The sequence below is a fragment of the Homo sapiens genome, chromosome 11 (genome assembly GCF_000001405.40).
Source record: "Homo sapiens chromosome 11, GRCh38.p14 Primary Assembly".
Lineage (NCBI taxonomy): Eukaryota > Metazoa > Chordata > Mammalia > Primates > Hominidae > Homo > Homo sapiens.
This window is the reverse complement of record NC_000011.10, coordinates 11,151,762-11,173,503: the sequence shown is the minus strand read 5'-3', so window position 1 is coordinate 11,173,503 and position 21,742 is coordinate 11,151,762. Positions and strand designations below refer to the sequence as shown.

General features: G+C 45.0%; 2 long non-coding RNA genes across 4 annotated transcripts in view; one reads left to right on the top strand and one right to left on the bottom strand.

Annotated features, from left to right (window-relative positions):
- Window positions 1-21,742, bottom strand: part of LINC02752 (long intergenic non-protein coding RNA 2752) — a 68,227-nt gene that overhangs the window by 10,108 nt on the left and 36,377 nt on the right. Inside the window, exons 4-5 of one of the 2 annotated variants that reach the window (NR_187402.1) lie at window positions 5,347-5,681; window positions 4,306-4,423 (exon numbers count right to left, since the gene is read on the bottom strand). This is a non-coding gene — a long non-coding RNA (long intergenic non-protein coding RNA 2752). Of the gene's footprint in view, window positions 1-4,305; window positions 4,424-5,017; window positions 5,682-21,742 lie in introns of those variants that run through there. The other variant, NR_187401.1, reaches the window with a different exon arrangement.
- On the top strand, window positions 16,943-20,703 carry LOC105376548 (uncharacterized). 2 transcript variants are annotated; one of them, XR_007062592.1, is made up of 3 exons: window positions 16,943-17,083; window positions 19,251-19,420; window positions 20,439-20,703. It is a non-coding gene; the product is annotated as an uncharacterized LOC105376548 (long non-coding RNA). The 2 variants fall into 2 exon arrangements; XR_001748126.3 differs by having other exon boundaries at window positions 19,246-19,420.

The window sequence follows — 21,742 nt, the reverse complement described above, 5'->3', positions numbered from 1 at the left end:
TGAGCTGAGAGGCAGTTGCAACAGGATTCTGTATGGAGCTGGGATGGCTTTCAGGGTTGTCTGTAATGAAGGCAAGTCTGCCTCGGGGAAGAGTGCATGATCTTGGGAGATAGAGGGCAATTTCCAAAGGGGCCTCAGCTGTGAGCTGTCAGCAGCCACTACTACCAGCTGCTGGAGGAATGAGTGCCTCATTCCCAAAGGGGGGATCTGGACATATATGACAGTATCCAGTATAGTCTGCTTCAACCTGCCTGTGATGAGTGTGGATATTCTATGCTGGAAGAGGGGTTTTTAGGTGGGTAGGAGGTGAATGATTCTCCCTGTTACTCGAAGTTCATTTATTTGGTGGCTTTTTCCTAGTCCTCTGTTTCTAAACTTTTTCCCAGTTACAAAGGCTGGAGTAGAAACTTTTCACAGCTTCCCTGGTACTTTTCTGTTCCCCTGCTTCATGCCTGCTACATATGATTACATGGATGTTCCTCCATACTTAGGCCTCCCTCAGAGAACCTGGGTTTGGGGAATGTGGAATTCTAGCAAGTAGTATAAATTTTCTGAATGTCCTGCCAAGTGAGCTTGGAAAGCCAGGGCGGAGGCCTCGCCTTCAGAAAGGCTGCCTAAGAACCTCATTCCCTGTGGTCCACTTGGGGGTGATGTGTGTCCAGCTCCACCCGCTAAGTCATGTTTTTTAGTAACAGTGCAGATCCATAAGTGACAGAAAATACCAGGTTGCCGTTTTCTCATTTCCCAGAGCCATCAAACCACCTCTTACACATTACTATTCTTAAACATCCTCAAATTAAAATTATCCTTAGAATTTGAGAGTCACACATACATAAAAGTGTGGACAAGTACAGAAAATAAGTCCATCCTTCGAGTGCCTTCTATGTCAGTGAATGGCACCAGTCTCCATCTGGATGTACAACTCAGAATCCAAGGAGTCTTCTCAGCACCTCCCTCTCCTGCAGCCCCCATAATACAAAAGACTGTCAATCCACCCTCTTAAAGAACTCACCAGTTCTCCCTCCCACTTCTCTCCTTCTCCACTGCTGCCTCCCCACCCTCAAACTGCCATTGCCCCTTCTCTGGGCCCCTGTAGTGGCCTCTAAATTTGTCTGCTGGCATCTTCTCCTACCCCCTTCCAATCTGTTCACCATTCCACAAATAGAACAGAATAGTCTTTTAAAAATACAATTCTCATTATGTATTTCCTGTCCTTAAATTCCTTCTGTGTCTTCCTACCTATTTCAGTCAGAATAAAAACTCAAATTTTAATGTGGTCCACAAGCCCCTACAAGGCTCTTCAAGGCCCTGCAAGGCCCCAGGCCTTGTATTGCCCCTGGCTGCACCTCACTTGCTGGGTTCCACCAGTCTAGCCTTCTCTCAGTGCCTTCTCTGAGCCTCCCTTCTGTCATTTTCACACCCTTGCCTACTTAACAGCTGCTGCGGTTTAGTGGTTACTAATACAGACTCTGCAGTCAGACTGACAGGCTTTGAGTCTCCAGCTGTATAGTACCCTCCTCTTTTTTTTTTTTTAACTGTGTAGTCTTAGACAATTGGCAAAAGCTAACTGTATCTCAGTCTCCTCATCTGTGAAATGGAGGCAATAACAGAACCTTTAGCTAGAGGAATAAATAATTCAGCATTCACAGAGCACTTAGTGTGTGCTCAAAAATATTAGTTATTGTAATAACCCATCCTTCAGTTCTCAGCCCAAGCACTTCCTCAGGGAGGTCATCCTGGTAGGCCCTCCCTGAGCCAGGTCAGGGATCCCCCAGGTGTGCTTATAGCTTCCTGCCCCTTTCTTTCACAGCACATAGCATAGTGTGGTTCTGTCTGCCCTCTGCTCTAGGCCATAAGCCCCTTCAGGGCAGAAACACTGCCTGTTTGCTCTCCGGTACATCCCCAGAGCCTGCCCCGTTTCTAAAAATAAACATTCCCTTTTCTGGTGCAGTTGGGAGGGTGTGGATACAGGGTATGGCACATGCTTTCTGTCACCATATATGGAGGTGGAAAGTTGGGAGGCAACAGAAGACATCCGAGATGTGTCCTGGGGAGGCCTCCTTGTGGCTGATAAACACAGTAGGAATGGTCTGCCCAGTTCTAGTGAGCCCTGGGAGAGGCATTAAATCAGCCCCAGGAATGTCCCCCAGATTGCTGTGCAAATCCATCTGGTGTCTCCTCACCTAGCCTGCAGGCTTCAGAGTGGGACCCCAGAATTGCATCAGTGTTCCACTCATGGCAGGCAGCCCTTGCCCACCTACAGTAACTCCCGGCCTTTAGAAGACATACCTGGCACATCCAGCCTGGCTACAGAGTTATGCTGTTTTGATTTCCACGTCTCCACTACAGAGCACATCCACCAAGCATCAATACTCCTCTGCATCTGAACCAGAGAAGGGCTGCAGTGATGCCTCTGTTATACACTGGGAGGACTGAATTCAAGTCACAGCATTGCCATTAATTCTCTGTGTGACCTTTACTGGTCATTTCAACTCCATTATTCATTTTACTTCTTTGTAAAATGAAACATTGAAACAGATGACTTAGCTCCATCACAGAGTACTAGGCTACCCCTCAGAGAACCTTCTCCCCAGGACCCACCACAATGATCTCAGTTCTCAGTAACATGGGATCCTACTCAGCACACACACGTGATCAGACTAAGGGTGGACACCTCACCCAAGCTGGTTCTTCACTCACAGAGACAGTTCTATGGTGTTGAGTATCATAGCTATAGGTTAAGAGAATCCAGGGCCAGACTGGTGCCCATACCAGGCAGAACCTCACAGTAGCTGAGTTTGGGGAGGTTAACTACAGGCCCTAGAGAAGGAACAGGTCTACCAAGAGAAGACTGGAGCAGAGGCAGGCACATGGCACCAGACAAAGAGAAAGAAGTCACCCAATGACCTTCAGTCTCTGTGAAGCCCAGTTGTAATTCTTCTACAATTGGGTGTCTGGAAATTCCCCTCCATCTCTTCACTTAAGGGGAGTTTAGATGGTTTCTATTCTTGGGAACCAAATGATTGCTGACTAAGGCATCTTCTCATATTGGATGTCAATTCAACAAAACCTCAACCAGTAAGACTGCGATGATCATGACAGCTTTAACCTTCCCAAAGACCTCTGTCTTCACTTACAGTATTTTAAAGCCAAACAGCCAAGGAAAATTGATGCTCTAGGAAGGGTTTTCATTGGCAAAATGAGGAAATCAAGACCCAGAGAGGGAAACAGACTCAGTCAAGGTCACTTAGTGAGTTGGTGACAGTCAAGGTGAAAGCAAAGCTCTGCCCACTCATTCCAGAGAACCTCTCCTGCTGTGCATCAGGGCCTCCTCTTTACCCTGGGCCCACTCTTCCCCTGGCCAGGGCTATTACAAAGTCAGAGCTGTCTGCAGATTTCTGTATGGAACAGTATTTGTCCCTGGTCTGTTACGTGTTCTGGAGAGTAACAAGATGGAGACCATGGGGATGCTGGAGTTGTGGGTGTGGACGTGGACACCACACCACCTGCAAGGGAAAGTTTTGCAGACACCGAACTGCGGAACAAGATAATAGCCACACAGGCCAGAAAGCACAGCTGTGCCTCCAGGCATGGCCTGGGGAATACCCACAGGTGAGGAGATTCCTCCCTGATGTGGAAAGGGGATTCACATTGACCAGCCTGAGACTGCTGCACTGGACTCCAGCTGAAGGAGATCCCCCTGGGACTATGGGCTGCACTGGAGAGGGGAGCCCAGCTGGGAAATCACCAGAAACACCCACCTGAAAATCAGAGCCTGGAGAGGGTGGTGAGGCAATTTCTCAATAATTATCCAAAGACCTTTTGTTCTATTAAATACAGCCTCGAGAGAAAAATAAAAGATAGGACTTTTTCAAGATGCCATTCCTATGAGCAAAAAGTCATGTATTTGGAGCAGATATAGATACACTACAATAAAACATATCATTTTGAACCATTGTTATCTCTGTAGTCTCACTATCAGGCACAGGCGTGGCACAGAGCAGGTTCTTTACAAATGAGTGCTTATCTGAGCCTAGAACTAGTTTAACTTTAAGCACTCCTATTATCCCATTTTATAGATGAGAAACTGAGACTTTACAATCTGAGATCACACAGTTAATACGTGTAGTCTGCAGCCAGGCTCCAGAAGCCTTGGCTTAAGTTTCAGGCTATATTTGATGCTGTCTTATCTTTGGACAGGACTAATGTAGGATGTGTAGGCTGGCAGAAGTCTGTAGAATTTCCTGAGGCCAGAGGATCTTGAAAGGGGCCTGGCATCTAACCATACAGCATACAAATACAAACCTTGTAAAGATGTTTGTCTTGTCCACTCTTGCTGAGGGGCCTGAAACATGTGTTTCACCAGAGTCTGGAACTTTTCTGTTTGTTCATTTGTTTGTTTGTTTGTTTTTGGCTGTCCTGTCTATGAAAGAGCAAGGGACAGAGTCAGGGACACCTGGATCATATTCCGGGTACAGGTCTTTTCCCTTCTCTGGACATCAGTTTCCCACCCCCACCCCCGCCCCCAACCTTAAGACACAGGTAGATGAGATGGCCTTTCCCGTCTCCTCTCGCAGTCTCTATTTTCAGATGATTCTCATGATTCATCTGAATTCTACCAATAGAGAAGCTTATTTAAGCTTCAGGTTAAATATTTCAGCAGCTGGCACACGGTAGGCCCTCAGTAAATGTCCAGAATGATTTAAGGGATGCCTCGGGCATCTAGAGTTTCTCACCATATCTGTGTCCGTTCCTATAATTTCCTCACACTCGATGAGCCACGTGGGCTGCTGTAAAGCCTGTGGTTTATGAAAAATAGTTTAGGGCTCAAATCCCAACCAGGGGGGCACAAAATCCCTGGGAGGAAGGGCCCGGAATGTCACTGAGGCTGGCAAAGAGACGGCATGAAATAAAACTAGACCAACCTCACTCATAAATATAAATGTGCAAATTCTAGACAAAACGCCAGGAAATTGAATTCAACAGTATATTAAAAGAATAATTTACCACAGCCAAATAGGGTTTACCGAAGAATGCAAAGCTGTTTTAATATTAGTAAATCTGTTTATAGAACATATCAATGGGTCAAATAAGAGAAACCATATGATTATCTCAAGAGGAGCAGGAAAATCATTTATGAAGATTCAAAATCAGTTCCTAAAGGGGACCTTCTTTAAAATGCTAGGACTAAATGATGCAAGTGGACAGTGATGGGAATGTTTTTAGTGGGAGGGCACTCCACATCTGAAGGTTTTCCAATGTTTGGGAAATTCCCCGCTTTCTGAGTTTGGGTGGGAGGCAGAGCCATCTTTCACGGTAGAAATGGAAGAAAGGCCAAGTGCTTACTGTCCTGGGTATTGGCCCCCTCCTTGCAGCAACAGTGAGGCATTTATCATAAGCTCAGATTGGGGAGCAAAAAAGCCAGGCAGCAGAGAATCTTTTATGGCAGTTCCAGTAATAGCAGCAACATCTGTTTCCAGGGACACGGTGATAGAAGCACAAGTAGCTGTATCTGGGCTCTGGGGACCAGCAGAGTTGGTGTTTCGAGATGTGGCATCCCATGGTCAAAGATGGCAGCAGCCATTCCTCTGTGTTCCATGTCATGATCTGCACTGTGGTGCCAGCTGCCCAGGAACTCTTTGTTCCTGACTTCCTGGTGATTCTCTAAACCATCCAGAATCCTGCCAACAAATTTCTTTTTTGCTTAAATCAGCCAGAATCAGTTTCTGTTGCAGGCAACTAAGAAATCTTAAAGACACAGAAGGTTATTTCTTTAACATAATAAAGAACATCTTATTTTTTAAAACCTGTGGCCAGAAGTAATACATAATGTCATTCCTATTAAAACAAAGAACAAAACAAGAATTTTTGTTGACTGCATATTTCTTTTTTAAAAGTCAGGTTTACTGAGGTACAATTTGCACACAATAAAATGTATTCACTTAAACTGTACAATTTGATAATTTCAGCAAATAAATGCCATCGTTGAAGCACCATGATATTCAATACACAGAGCATCCATCACCCCAAAAATTTCTCGCAAGTTCCTTTATAGTTAATGTCCTCTTCCACCCCAGCTCTGGAAACCACTGATCTGATTTCTATCTCTATAATTTGGCCTCCTCCAGAATGCCATATAAATAAAGTCAGATGGTAGCCTTCTGAGTCCTGCTTCTTTCACTCAGCAAACTGTTTTTTGAGATTCATCCATGTTGTTGCATGAATGATATTTCATTGTATAAATATTCCAAAATTTGTTTATCTATTCCATGATTGATGAATATTTGTATTGCTTTCAGTTTGGGATTATTATCAATAAATCTGCTATAAACATTTGTGTATACAAATTTTTTTCTTGGGTAAATATCTAAAAGTAGGAATGCTGGGTCATATTAAATAAACGTTTAACTTTATAAAAAACTATCAAATTGTTTTCTAAAGTGGCTGTGCTGTTTTGCATTCCCACCAACACTTCATGTGAGTTACAGTTGTTCTGAATCCTCATCAGCACTTGCTATTATCAGTTTTTAAATTTTAACCATCTAGTGGATGTACAGTGATATCTTGGTTTGACATTAATTTTTATTTTTCTAATGATTGATGATTTTGAGCATCTTCTCATGTGTCTACTTCCCACCAATACATCTTTTTTTTTTTGGTGAAGTATATGTTTAAACTGTTCACTTATTTATTTATTTGGCTGTTTGTCTTCCTTTTACTGTGTTGTAAGGATTCCTTATATATCCTGAATACAAGTTCTTTGTCAAATTTGTGTTTTGAAAATAGTTTCTTCCAGTCTGTGGCTTGTCTTTTCATTTTCTTAAAAGTGTCTTTCAAAAAGCCAAAGTTTCCATTTTGATAAAATTCAATATATCAATGTTTCAATTTCATTCGATTTATCATTCTTTCATGATTTATGCTTTTTGTGTCATATCTACAAAACATGTTACCTAACCCAAGGACACAAAGATTTTTTTATCTTACACTTTCTTATAAAAGCTTTATAGTTTTAGCTCCCACATTTAGTCTATGATTCATTTTAATTTGCTTACATAGAATGAGAAAAGTGTCAATGTTCATTTTTTTTTGCATGGGAATGTAAAAATTTTCTGGAACACTATTATTATTTAACATCATTATAGAAGTTCTGGTTGACATAATGAGATACAAAACATAAGTAAGTTGTATAGTTATTGGAAAGGAAGAGAAAAACTATCATTATTTATAGTCAATATGGTTTTGTATCCAAGAAACTCAAGAGAATCTATTGAACACACATAGAATTAATAAGAATTCAATAAGGTGATTCATTACAGAGTAAACATGCAAAAATCAATAACTTTTTAATATACTAACAGTAATTATTTAAAGAATATAAGAGAAAAGAATCCCACACACAGTAACAGCAAAGACTTAAATGCCTAGAAGAGAAAATAAAAGAGAAAGAGAAAGTGCAAGGCCTAGATAATGAAAATCACAATGTTTCATTGAGGATATAAAAGAAGTTAACTAAATATAAATGTGTAAATACCTTATATGGAGAAACTCAATAACATAAAGATGTTAATTTTCCCAAATGAACTTATAATATTGGAGTTATCTGGGGAACATGACAAAATGATTCTAAAATTCATCTGGAAAGAATCACTGAAAAAGTGTGTTGAAGAGCAGTGAGGAGGACCAGATACAAAAATATTTTATAAAGATATCATAATGAAAATATTGTGTTAAGGACCTAAAATCAAATAGACGAATCAATATGCTAGAATAGCTAAATTAGTCTGAATCAGAACGTGATATATATGAAAACTTTATGTATGATGACTGAAACATCACTAACCAGTTGGGATCAGGATTTATTGCAGGGTAGCAAGAATGGAAGAAAGGAGACCAGTTCACAGGCTATCAGAATAGTCCAAGAGAAATACGATGGCCGAGAAGTTCTCTTGGGTTCCTAACCCAGAGCTGTTCCATGGCCCTCAGGCACGTAGAACCACCCTCTGGGGAGCAGGACATCCCAGGCTGGTGGGCAGGTGTGCAGAGGGGATGGAGCACATCCAGGGCCCTCAACAACAAAGTTGAACACTATCCCAGCTGGCAAAGGAAAAAGACATAAAGGGCCTTTAGATATTTCCACAGATGGAGCAACAAAGGGTGAATTGTAGCCGAGAGGTAATATGTTGATAACTGACACAGGATGCAATGCCAAACCACACTTCCCAAACACATTCAGCTCTGGACACATCTGCTAACATCCCAGTGGCCAAAGCAAGTCACCTAAACAGGTTCACAATCAATTGGGTGGGAAAGTATGTTCTGCAGAGAGATGGGGAAGAGGGTGAGTATCTGGCAAACAATAATCTCAGTGATCACAGAAATAGTATTAGTGGAATGTGCCAGTGCATTGAAAGGGAAGATAAAGAATTGGGAGGATGCTATAGCTTGGATGCTTGTCCCCTAAACCTCACATTGAAATTGAATCCCCAATGTTGGAGGTGGGGCCTAATGGGTGGTATGTGAGTCTTGGGGGCAGATCCCTCATGAATAGCTTGGTGCTGTCCTGGCAGTAATGAATGAGTCCTCTATTAGTTCCCATGAAAGCTGGATGTTAAAAACAGCCTGGCACTGGCTCGCTCTCTTACTTCCTCTTTCACCATGTGATCTCTGCACAGGCTGGCTCCACTTACCTTCCATCACGAGTGGAAGCAGCCTGAAGCCCTCACCAGAAGCAGATGCTGGCACCATGCTTCCTGTACAGCCTGCAGAGCCATGAGCCAAAGAAACCTTTTTTCTTCACAAATTATCCAGCCTCAGGTGTTCCTTTAGAGCAATACTAAACAGAATAAGACAAATGTGTTTTAGAGTTTAGATACAAGCAAGCCCCTGGGTGGATGATAATGCTATTTACTAATGTAGGAAGGACTGGAGGATGAACAGGTTTGCTGGGTAAATCAAAAGCTTTGTTGTGGATTTGTTAAACATTAACATCTAGGAGAAGATATCAAATAGGTAGTGAGACAAGAGTCCGACTCAAAGGCCATGTCTAGAAACATAAGCATGATAATCACCAGCCTATAGAAAGTCTCTTATGCCATGGATCTGCTTGAGGTCATCTGGGGAAAGAGTGTAGCCATAGCATCAGAACTGTCCAAAAATAGAGCCCTGGGCACTTCGATATTTCCATAACAGATGAGGGAGAAGGATTCAATAGAAGGACTGCAAAGGAGTCCTGAGTGTTGTGGAAGAGTACCAGGAGAGTGTGGTGTCACTGGAGCCAAGAGAAAAGGGTTAGGAAGGAGTGCCAAACTCAGTGCATCGCTGCTGGGAATTTGTGTAAGACGAGAACAGAGACCGGGCTGTTGGTGACCCTGGCAAGAGCTCCATAGGGGACCAACTCTACAAAGCACTGTGCTAGGTGCTAGAGACAAAGAGATGAGTAAAATACATTTCTTGCCCTTTAGGAAATAGCAGCCTGGTGAGGAAGGCAGACATGTGAATAAATCATTGCAATACAGTGTGATAAATCTTATAATGGAAAAACATTTTCCTAAATGTGTTTCACTAAACACTATTTGAGGGAGATGTTAATCAGAGCTCTAGAAACAAAGTGTCCCAAGACCAAATAAACTTGGCAAGTGCAACAGACTAATCCCCATTTCAGAAGACTCCCAGGACACACTAATGAGTTATTTTAAAGGTTCTGAGAAATTCTGGAGCAGAAATGTATGACTAACTTTGTTTCATGGTTAAATAAAAAAGAATAGATTTAAGTGGAAGATTTTATGTTTTGGCATATCAGCTAACATCCTCCAGACAAGAACAGTTTTTTCTGAACTCCAGTTTGGGAAGCACTAAAATAATGTATTAACGGGTTGGGGGATCCTTGGGGATAGCTCTATATTTTTGCTTGGAGAAATCAGAAGCAGTTACCTGGTAGGAGAAGCTGTTGGAGCCAGCAGCCTGCCTAGGGCTGAAACCTGTTCCCTCCCAGATCAAGAGTCCAGGAACTTTATGAAGACTTTTTAATGAGTCGAATGTCCTGCAATACCACATGTGGGCCACATGGCCAAGCTGACGGACAAGCAGGAAACACCCACCCTCTGATGCATGTGGCGCTGCTGCCAAGAGGGGGACAGAGGGAATACCAGAAGACAGGAGGAGAGACGAAGGGAGGATAAAACTCTTTCCAAATCCAAGGAGGAAGGACCCTGAAGGAAACTGGAAGGAAGCCTCTTTGTAATGATGTTTAAGACTTGCTTTGTTAACATCCTCAGAACAGAAGGAAAAGATGTGGCTTCTCTCCAAAACATTTTCCTCACCAGAAAGTCTGGTGGCAAAATCCATAGAAGTTGCAAGTCTCTTTAACGCAGAAGGCTACACAATGCTTTGAAAAACAAATAAAATACAGATTATTAGGGCTGCAAGCACCCTGAGAGCTCACAGGACCTAGAGCAATCAGCTGAGGGCCAGAAAGAATAAGTGACTTGCTCGGGTCTCCTCACCAACAGGACTGGAGCTGGGACTTAGAGCTGTCGGCCTGCAGGGCCAACTGCGGAGCTCTTGGTGCTATGTGCTGGGCTCAGGAATCCAACATATTGTCCCTTGGGATCTTCTCTCCACACCCAGGTCTTGTCTGGCACCCCCAGTAGTTATGGAGAAGCAACATCAGTTCCATAGTAGAAGCAGCAACAAGAGGGAAAGAAATAAAAACACTGAAGCTGGCGGGGTGATCTAACGGGCAGACTCTCTCACCCCAGGAATGCAGGAGGGGTTTCCCCTCCATGTGCCCTGGATCCTGGGGCCCAGCTGCAGGGAGAATGGGAACAACTGCCCCAGGACCCTCAGTGACCCTGTACCACAAGACACAGTGGCTGAGCTCATACACCTGCATTCCCTGGACAACCGCTCATATGTTGCAGCCAAGTTGAGAGGTGTGGCTTCTCATTAATTTGCCTGTTTCCCCAGAGGTAGAAAAATTAGGGAAAATTAAATCGCCAGCTGAATCCTCAGCAGTTTCAGGTCTTCTTCAATTTTTCCCTGATAACTAAGGCACTGGAGGCAGCACAGACCCCATTAATACTTCACTGCACAAACGCATGCTGCTAAACAAAAATCAGTTCGTTAGTCCATTCACAGGTGTTTTCTGAAGGGTCATCCTCAGGCAGGTAGGGACTACAAAGAGAGTGAGGCAGTGGAGTTCACACTCATAGCTACTGGTGGGGAACAAGAGGAAGCCCCCATCCTGGCAGAACAGGGGCATGATAGTGAGGAGCCTGCCAGGAGGTTGAGAGGTGCAAGTCACAATGTCCAGAGGCCATGGTAAGCCCAGGCATGGCTAGAAAGATGCTAGAACCTGGTGGGCTGCAGCAATGGGAGTCCAGACAGCAGAAGGCACTCCAGGAAGATGGTTCTGGTTGACCTAGAGTTGAGCACAGGGAGAGTGAGGCAGAAGTCTGGACTTTTGGGCTGAGATAACATGGTGAGTGTAGGAATGTGAGAGTGGTTTTTTGGGTTTTGTTGTTGTTGTTTTTCTTCAGTGACTCAACCCTGAGAAAATTGTCAAGTGACTCCTTGTCTTGATCAGTGATGGAGAAGCCAGGTCTGCCCTTAGAGTTTCAGTAGTTCTAGCTGTGGGAAATGAGAGCCACCAGGGCATAGGAATTGAAGCCCCTGGATATAAGGGGACCCCAGGGGAACTATCCCACCTTCTCTTCATTGGTCTTCTGACATTTTGGAAGACTTCTGCTGAACAGAGGATCTGTGCTTTAAAGGGTCTTGTAAGTTACCGTCTCCGTGTGAAGGAATAAAAGAATATTCTATTTGAAGCTGTTTGCTTTGCAAAGAATCAAATTCCTCTCTGACTGGCTAAAACACAGAGATGAAGGTTATCACAATGACACAGAAAGACCTTAGATGAAAGGGGCAGGGAAGGAAGCACAGCCAGTCCCTGCAGGGTTTGCATCTAGTCATCTCAGTCTCTCAAAGGCCACAGGGGCTCTCTAATTCTATTTCTATTTCATGCTTCTCTTGATCAATCAGCTTCCTCTGCTTACAAATATTGTACACAGCTCTCTAATGGGATGGCTTTCCTAATCCTGACTCTAGATCACTCCTAGTCTAAAGAGCCTACCATCAATTGGCTACAGGCCTGTGTCACTACATCCAGATTCTTCAGAACCTGATTGATGATTGGCAAGCCAGTGGGTCACTGGCAAATGGCAAGTCAATGGGTCATTACTCAGTAGGTCATTAACCAGAAATTAGATTGACCATTTACCAACTATTGCCAAGGAGGGTCTGTTCATGTAATACATGGACTGTCCCTTACAGGAGATGTGCACAGGACATATATTGAAGCACAAATAGCGTAGAATTGGATAGATGCTTACCATCAGAAATGCAGGCTTATTGCAAGAATTTATAGCAAAACACATATGGTCAGCCTGAGTAATGACCCCCCTACCCCCTGCCAAAGACTTCCATATCCTAATTCAGAAGCTGTTGACGCAGGATTTTCCTCTTGGTCACTTTGCAAGCCAGGACCTCCAGTTGGCAACGCCCCACCTAGGCCTCACTCAGCCACACTGCCTGCTGCAGGAGATGGCTCACCCACTCAGCCCGCCCAGGTAGTCTGGCTTGCACACCAGTTCCTGAGTTGTTGTCCTGTACCCAAGAAGAATGAGGATGTGCTGACAATTGAGGAGTGAGCAAGATGGGGATATTTATTGAGTGATGAAACAGCTTTCAGTGGAAAGGGGACACGGGGGTGGTCTCCCTACCCAAAGGCAGGAAAGTCTTCTTAATATGGCTGAGTTGGGGGCTTCTTATGGGCTTAGAATGGGGAAGGGGCAGGCCATAGGTAGTCTTGGAAAAGGCAACATTCAATTTGTTAAAAGGCATTATTCAGAAAGAATCTGTCAGGAAAGGGCAGGCAAACAGGAACAGAAGTTCTTACTGTGGGTCACAGGTTTCATCTGAGACCAGCAGCCCAGTCTTTCAGCCTTCAGGCTGTTTTTGGCTTGAAAGTGGGGTTTCATCAGGGACCTGCCCCTATCAGCCTAGGCATTTGGCTGCCTCCTATCGCTATCACTGTGAATATGTTACCTTATATGGCAAAAGGGACTTTGCTGATGTGATTAGGATCTTGAAATGGGGAGAGTATCCTGTTATCCTGATGGACTCAATGTAATCACAAGGATCCTTTCAAGAAGGAGGCAGGGTCAAAGACAGTAATAGATGTGACCACAGAAACAAGAAGGTGGTGATGGAGGCAAGAGGTTGGAGTGACGTGAGGAAAGGGTCACAGGCTAAGGAACACAGGTGTCCTCTAGAAGCTGAAAAAGGCAGGGAACCAGATTGTCCTCCAAAGCCTCCAGAATGAGAGCAGCCCCACAGACACCTTGATTTTAGACTTCTGACCTCTAAAACAGTAAGAGAATATGTTAGTGTTGTTTTCAGCCACCAAGTCTGTGGCCATGTGTTTCAGCAGCAATAGGAAGCTATTACAGCTGGAACCATGGGATGCCATCATCCTAACTATCCAGGGCTTCTCACAGGGAACCAGAACTATAGTTCATATTCATTCAGGATGCAACTTGAATTCAAGCAAACCCTGCTCCATTGTGTATACCTTGCATTTGCTCTTTCCAAAAGTGAGGATTCGATTGACTTTGTTCATTGTTATGCAATACAGATCATTCTTACTGAATGTCAGGCTAATAGGTTTCACATCAATACAGTTTAGTGGGGACTGGCTTCCCTCTCGTCCAACACAAAGGGCCTGATCCAATCAGCCATGTCCAGGGCAGCAAGGTGGCCGCCAGTTAGCAACCTCCATAGCCCACACACACATACACACACTCATACACACACAAAGCACAAAACTTTACAAAGAAGAATGGGTTTAAGCTATCTGTGGGAGTCACCTGAGGATACCACCCACAACCAGTAGGGTTTAACATGCAGAAGTTTAGCAAACAATCTTGAGGTTTTAAGAGAAGAATGGCCCCTTACTGACCTCCTTATACTAACCTTGATGCTGCAGTGGTAATGAGTTAAAATTGTGAGAAGCTATGAGCTCAAGGCCGGGGGTCCCTTTCTTTGGGCCCTGTGATCATGACCCTACTGGATCCTAATCCCACAGCTACAGGTAGTCATCTTCCATAGGTCAAAAGCAACCACTCCTCCAGCATCTCCTGGGGTGCCCTTGCCCCTGCACATTGGCTTGAAGGAGGGCACAGTATTGCTGCTTGACCAGGAATAATATTTTTAGGAGTTTAAAGAAAATAAAGAGAATCTGTTAAAGGCAGTTTCAGGTTCTGGGCATGAAAAGAGATACAGTGCTTGAGCTTCTGGAAATCAGGAAGGCTTAAAAAGTCAAAGAGATATTTGAATGACTGCCTTTGGGACTGGAAGAAACCCAAACAATTAGAGGCATGAAGGTATAGCACTCAGGGTTTGATAGGTGGAGGTGCATCCCTAAAACCAGGTCTCTGGGCTCACTGGAGCCTGACCTCATTTTCAATTGCTGAAAAAAAATGCACGCGATAAGCTCAGTCTGAAGATGCTTTGACAATTGTTCGAATCAGCCATTTTCCTAGAGGGTTTTGTTTTATTTATAATTATTATATTTTATTTATTTGTGTTTTTCTCTTATGATATGTTACCTTTTGTTTAAATAATTGGGCATCCCAGACCAGATTATCTAGAAATAAACTGGTGCTTTTCTGTGGTATTTCTTTAAAGGCAAGTATATTTTTAACTCGATTTATCTTTTTTGGTACACTCAATGACTTGTCTCAAAACAGCTCCATCAACTTTCTTAACCTAAATCCTTGTTCAAGTTTCCTAGTCCCTATCATTAAATTAAAACCTTTAAAGTATTTTAATTTAAGCCTTATTTGAAAAGATCATACATATCTCATGATTCCCATTAAAAATTAAGTAATTGAAATGCACACATATAAAAAATATGTATGTACATATTATATATTATTATATACATAATATGCCAGAAGGCAGAATTTATCTTCCATGGACTAACATTTTGTCAGAAAAAGAAATTGATAATCTGGTTTCTGGCATAGGCATGTGCAGCCTCCCCCCCCCCACCGCCCGCCCCCATACAGGATCCCTGGGGCAGGCATGGACAATTTCATCTCACATCTCTCTAAGGAATGACAGGTCAGCTCTGTGGCACATGGTCCCCCTCCTGCAAGGTCTGGCCTCCTCATGATGCTCAAGGTCCATTGGGAAGATTCCAGAGTGTGAGTGACTTAGGGGAGAACAGAAAGAAGTCTACAGAAGGTTGGGTAGGAAGAGACCTCAGCACACCAGGCTGCAGCTGAGACAAGGCAGGGCTCCCTGGGCAGCTCTGTCTCCTCCATCTCTATGTAGATCATTTTTCTGCCCCTCGTTTGGTGCACACTCCTGCCAACAGGATCTTGGAGGCAAGCTGGGTAAAGATTAGGCTGCCATGAGACCTGAAGCTGGTGCTCTATGGTGCATGTTTGGGAGAGCCCAGGATCTCCACCTCACACCCAGGCCCTGCTCGCCAGCTGAGGGCAGCTCTGTGATGTGTGATGTCAGTGCTTCTGGGCCGGCGATGGTGTGCTGAGCAGAGCTGCCATAGACACCCACCCCTACACCTGGACATGTCATGCCTACAAACACAGGACCTGGAGAAACCAGGAGCCATTCTCAATCCACCTTGGAGCTCTAACTACCACTGAAAAGCTTTGCTGGGACCCCAAATCATCTGGCTTTAAGGAGCTGTCAGGAAACTCTACAAAGGGCTTAGCTGGCAACTAAGGGATAAATGGCTAATCACAGTTTAAGTGGTGCCCACTTTCTCTCTGCCCCAGTGTATTAACTTCAAAAATCGAAAGAATGGAGGGGCGCTAATGGTGGGGGCAGGGACAGAGAGCCCTGCCCAGTTTCCCCTTAAACCAGAAGGCATCCAGACCCTCATCCAAGATTTCCGTGGCACCGAGAGCCCAGGGATGGTGGACGAGAAGGCATCCAGTCCAGCACGCAAGGCTTCCATGGCACCAAGAGCCCAGGGATGGTGGTTTCAGTGTCTGGTAGAGGAAAGTTGCCTTTATGCACCTTCCAGCAGGGGGCTCCGGGAGCTTCATGCTGTAGAGTAGGGGAGTCAAGGCCCTGTTTTATCTCTGCAGTTGAAACAGTCACAGATGTCTATGTGCTATTTTCAAATGAAGTTCCTCGTGGAAACTGCGCATGTTTTTCTCAATAACCACCCCACTACCACTGCCAAACTAAATGAAGCAACAAGCATCAATTTATATCAATTCAATATTTATACAAACTGTGATTATCTCTTATGGATCCGAAGCTCTGATTGGCAGTTACATATGGTTTTGATGATAAAAGTATGAAAACAAATTTATTATTATCTGCAAATGAAGGGTATATGGCAGATAGGATTTTCCAGAGCATGGAGAAATAACACAAAAGATATCCCTGGTGATGGGAAAGCTGAGAACTCTAAAATAAGAATACTAGGGGCAGGGGTACCAGATCAAGAAAGGTTGTCGGACTGGATTATATTTGTTAAAGAGAAAAGCCATAGAGCATAGTAGAAATGTCGGGATGCAGAAGAGGAGAACTCCGGGCCACGGCCTTGCTATGTGATGGTGGCCAAGTGCCTTGCCTTGGATCTTTCACGGCTGGACCCTGGAGGGGTTGGACTTGCCTGATTCCCCCTCTCAGGGGCAGAGCCGTGGACCCAGCCCAGGGGAGGGGGTTAGGGAATGTGGTGCACACGAGGCCTGGCTAAGCTAGGGCTCAGGACAGGACTTGTGGCAGGAAGGATCCCACGTTGTTAACCCAAGACAGCAGATAGGAGTTGTTGCAGGTCCCTCTTCCGGAAGCACCTCTGAAACGGAAACGGTGTGTGCGGTGTTTATCAGGAAGTGCTCTCAGACTCCACGCCCGTGGGAGTAGTGAGAGGCATAGGATGGGACAGAAGGAGATGCTAAACAGTGATGCAGAAGCAGCGAAGACCTCCGCAATCCTGCAGGGAAGCTTGGGAGCTGGTACGGCCCTGCAGAGATGCACTGAGGTAGGGCGAGGACCCCGGCCCTCTAATCCCCCGCACTGACTCGACATTGGATGCACAGCCCCTGGGAAGGGGATGTGACGGGCGAGGTGGCTCTCGGCATCTGAGAGCAATCCCTGGCGACAGACTCAGCTGAGAGCTCATCTGAGGGCAATCTCTGGAGACAGACTCAGCTCAGAGCTGTCAGCAGCCTGAGGACTGTGTTTCTTCTTGGACGGGTAGGGACCCCAGGGGAACCCGGGCAGCACACCTCACGCCCCCTGCAGGCACAGTGCTGCAACTACAGCCAACCATCCGGAGGGGAGAATTCAGGTGCGAGAGGCCCAGGGAGGAAGCCGAGGGAGACTCCAGGCCCTAGTGAGAAGGCAGCGCACAGCCAGCAAGGCGGACCCACCTAGCTGGGTCCTGCCTGCAGACATCGTAGTCAGCATCTGCGGCCGTGGCGTCAACCAGTAGGAAGCGGATTAGGACCCAACCAGGCTCAGCCAGGCTCCACCACGCTAAGGTTCTGGGCTCTCCCAGCATCTCTGAGGACTGAGGGAGGCCCCAGCCTGGGCAGAGGACACCTCTGAGGTCGTGCAAATAGTTTTCTATGAAGCTCGTCTTCTGCTGCTCTTCCACCCATTGTCCATCAGTCCTTGCCACTTCCTTGTCCTGGGCATCAGCTAGCCTGGAACCCATCAAGGAGGTCAGAAAGGAGTCAGGATCTGTAGTGGAGGCTGGGGAGGTCAACCAATAGTCAGAAGCCTAGGCAGGCCGGGCACAGTGGCTCCCGCCTGTAATCCCAGCACTTTGTGAGGCAGAGGCAGGAGGATCTTTTCAGTCTAGGAGATCGAGACCAGCCTAGGCAACACGGCAAGACCTTGTCTCTACAAAAATCACTTGGGGGTGGTAGTATCCACCTGCGGTCCCAGCTACTCAGGAGGCTGAGGTGGGAGGATCCCCTGAGCCTCGGAGGTCGAGGCTACAGTGGTTCATGATCATGTTACTGCACTCCAGCCTGGGTGACAGAGTGAGACTCTGTCTAAAAAAAGAAGACGACAAAGAAGTCATCTAGGCAGCAGTATGGTAGACTGCAGAGACAGTGAGATTTGGAGGCAGACAGACCTGCCTTCAATGTTCACCTCTGCCACTTTTGGGCTGTGTGACTTTAAGCAAATTGCTATACCTCTCTGAGCCCCATGCTGCCCATTAATCCTAGCACCTATCTCTCAGTACTTTATTAAGTCTCCAGGATTATTCCAGCTGCTATTTTACCACTGCCTCTGACTTCTTTTGAACTCTGACCACTGCCTTTTATTTAGGATTATGACACACATCGTTAGCTCTAGGATTCCTCGCTGAGTCCCAAGTCTAATTGTTTACAGACATCCTATGTCTAACTGCATCCCACCACTCTCTGCTTCTCCTTAAGACTGGTCCCCACTTTGCTATCAGCTGTTCCATCTCAGCATCTCTTACTCTTTTCTTCTCAGCCTGACTGCTGCTGGAGCCCAGTGTGAGTCCTGGCAGAAGAAATCTGCAAACCCTAGTCAGATGTGTTTCAGCTTTGCAGTGGATGGTAGGGCCACCCTCCCGTTGGGGTCAGGTCAGAGGACATGACTCTTTAACATTACTGAAATTACAAGTTTCTTGAATACAAGATGAAGGAAGAGGTCAAATATCAAGTAGTAAGTCACACATTTAAAACAGAATTTGGCTTCTACATTTTCTTGGGAATGGGTAGAGAAAAAAGCTTCCCTTTCTCTGTTTAAAGAAATCAAAACTTTAGAGGGCTCTAGGAAGAACAAAGAGAATCTTCACATAAGAAATAGAATATTGAGAGCCCTTATTAAGATAATTTTCTTGCTCAAAGATTGAAAGACTCAGTGCCTTTGGAGTTTGGCTCTGGTTGAGGGAGGGGATGGGATGAAGTGACAAATGCCTCAGAGGTTATGGCTAATGGTGCCTTTGGAGAGAGAAGTATTGGGACATGTGTGTGGGAAAACAGGTTTCAGAATGTGATGGCAGCCTCCAAAATGGCCCCAGTGATGCCCTGTCCTGGTGTTCACGTTCTTGTAAAATCCCCTCTACCTTGAGTGAGGGATGCTGATGAATAATGATGGGATATCACTTCCAATATTAGGTTACAAAATGACTCTGGTTTCCATCTTGCTCACCCTGAGGGAAGCCAAGCTGCCATGTTGTAAGCTGCCCTATGAAGGGACCCACATGGCAAAGAATGGAGAATGACCCCAGCCAGCCAAGAACTCTCAGCCTACCGGCCCATGAGGAACTGAATCCTGCCAACAGCGATGTGAGTGAACTTGGAAGTGGATCCTTCTCCAGTGGCACCATCAGGTGAGACTATAGCCCCAGCCAACATGGGAGTTGTTTCAGAAGAAAGGAAGTATTAAGCCAGATGCTTTACAGACTTTATCTTGGACCTCAAATTCATTCTGTGAGATACATGTTGGTATCTCCATTGTGTAGATAAGAAAACCAAGACTCAAAAAGGTGAAAACTTACTAAATGTCATATGATGAATGAATAGAAGAGAGGGGATTTGAACTCAGGACTGATAACACAAAAGCCCACACTCTGGTTATTGCAGAAATATACTGTGTTTTTATTTCCACGTTTCCATCAGAACTTAAAAATAAAAATGGACAGTTGCTCAATTATCCCACTAACAAACATATGGCAGCAGCAAGAACTGGGACCACAGCACCATGCTAACCAAGGCCAGGCCTTCCCTGAGTTGGTATACACTCCCGTACAGCAGCATCAGAAGCTGCTCAGAGCCTGCAACATCCTCTTGAGGCAGAATCCTCCATGTGCAAAGTGATCTAATGGTCAGTTTTTAAAAGAAAATAGCTGAATCTGATGCCAGTATGGGCTAAGTACTACTTCTAAGAACCTTACATGTCTTAACTCACTTAAACAATCCTACAAGAAAGGCACTATTATAGTCATCCAATTTACGGATGAGGAGACCAAGGCACAGAGAATTTAGATAATTTTCTCCCAGACATTCAGCTATAAGGAGCAGAGCCAGGATTTAAACTCTGACAATTTGTCTCCACAGTCGCATACAAGACCCCCAGAATTCTCTCCTTGGTCCCAGGCTATCATGTTGCCTGGGTTCCCAATACAGCACTGGGTGTAGCTGGCCTTGGTTCCAGGCCTTCACCTTCTGGATTCAACCTGGCTACCAACACCCTTGATTCTGACTTTCTCCATTCACCTCCTCGTTCCCAGTTCCCAGCTAGCCCTTTCTGCCTTGACCCCATCTGCCCTGGCTCTTAAGCTGTTCACACCTGCATCCCATCCCATGCCTGCACCCCAGCCCTCACCTGCCTCCTGACCTGTCTTACAGCTCACCATCCAGCCCGCCTGAGGCTCTGCCCACTGACAGGCTACTCCCAGGACAATACTAGCTCCCCAGGACAAGCACTACACCCAGACGGCATGTCATTCAACAAGTCGGGGGCAGGCTTAAGGTGAAAAATCATCCCAATTCTGGAGATATTATCTGAAAAAAAAAGACTGTTTTCAGGAAACAATCTTCCCATCTGTGGTGATTTTTAAAATATAGTTCCCAAATTTTATGTGGGAAAGGAAAGTAGCAATATAGATGCAGGAAGAGCATTACTGTGTGGATAAAAAGATGATGTATGCAAATGAACATGCTCAGCCTAGAACTTAAATTAAAGTTACTGCCTGATATGGTAGGTACTGTGGTCTGAATGTGTCCCCCAGAGTTCATGTGTTGGAAACTTAATCTCCAGTGCAACAATGTTGAGCAATGGAACCTTTAAGAAGTGACTGGGTCAGGAGAGTTCTGCCCTCATGAATGAATTAATGTCATTATTGCAAGAGTTAGTTATTGCAGGAGTAGGTTCCTGATTAAAAAGTGAGTCCACCCCCACTTCTCTCTCTTTTTCTGTCACGCACATATGCACTCTCTTGCCCTTCTACCTTCCACCATGTGATGACACAGCAAGAAGGCCCTCACCAGATGCAGGCCTCTCAACCTTGGACTTTCCAGCCTCCAGAATTGTAAGAAATAAATCTCTATTCTTTATAAATTACCTAGTCTCTGGCATTCTGTTACAGCAGCACAAAATGAATTAAGACAGTAGGAAAGATCATTGACACTGTTACAGACCTCTAAGGCATGATGAAAAAGCAAATATGCCCATGTTTATGCAAATAGCAGAGTCAGTTAAAGAGGCCATAACATTGATCATATGGGACTTCAATAGCCCTGAAATGGATTAGAACAAGAATTATGGGATGGTAAGGAGAGGCCACAGAGCTAGCAGTGATCAGAAGCTCTTTTCCAGGAGACTTTGTTGAGCAATCAAAAAGATCATGGGCTATTGGGGGCAGCTATCTGAAAAGTTGAATGCAATGAAGGATGAAGGATGGGGCTAAAATGCTAAAAGCAGCGTTTTCAACCAAGTTGCATTTCAATTTAGTCTTCCCATCTGTGGTGATTTTAAAAATATAGTTCCCAAATTGCCGGTAGCATCTGGGGAGCAGGGTCTGTGGGCAGACACCTGCTCACCAGTGAACATTTGGAATGACATTTCTGGAGGGAGGTGTCATTGTGGCTTAGAGATTAATCCATAAAGAAGACAGACTTAGGGAATCCCAGAGTAGCAGAGCTGGGAAGCC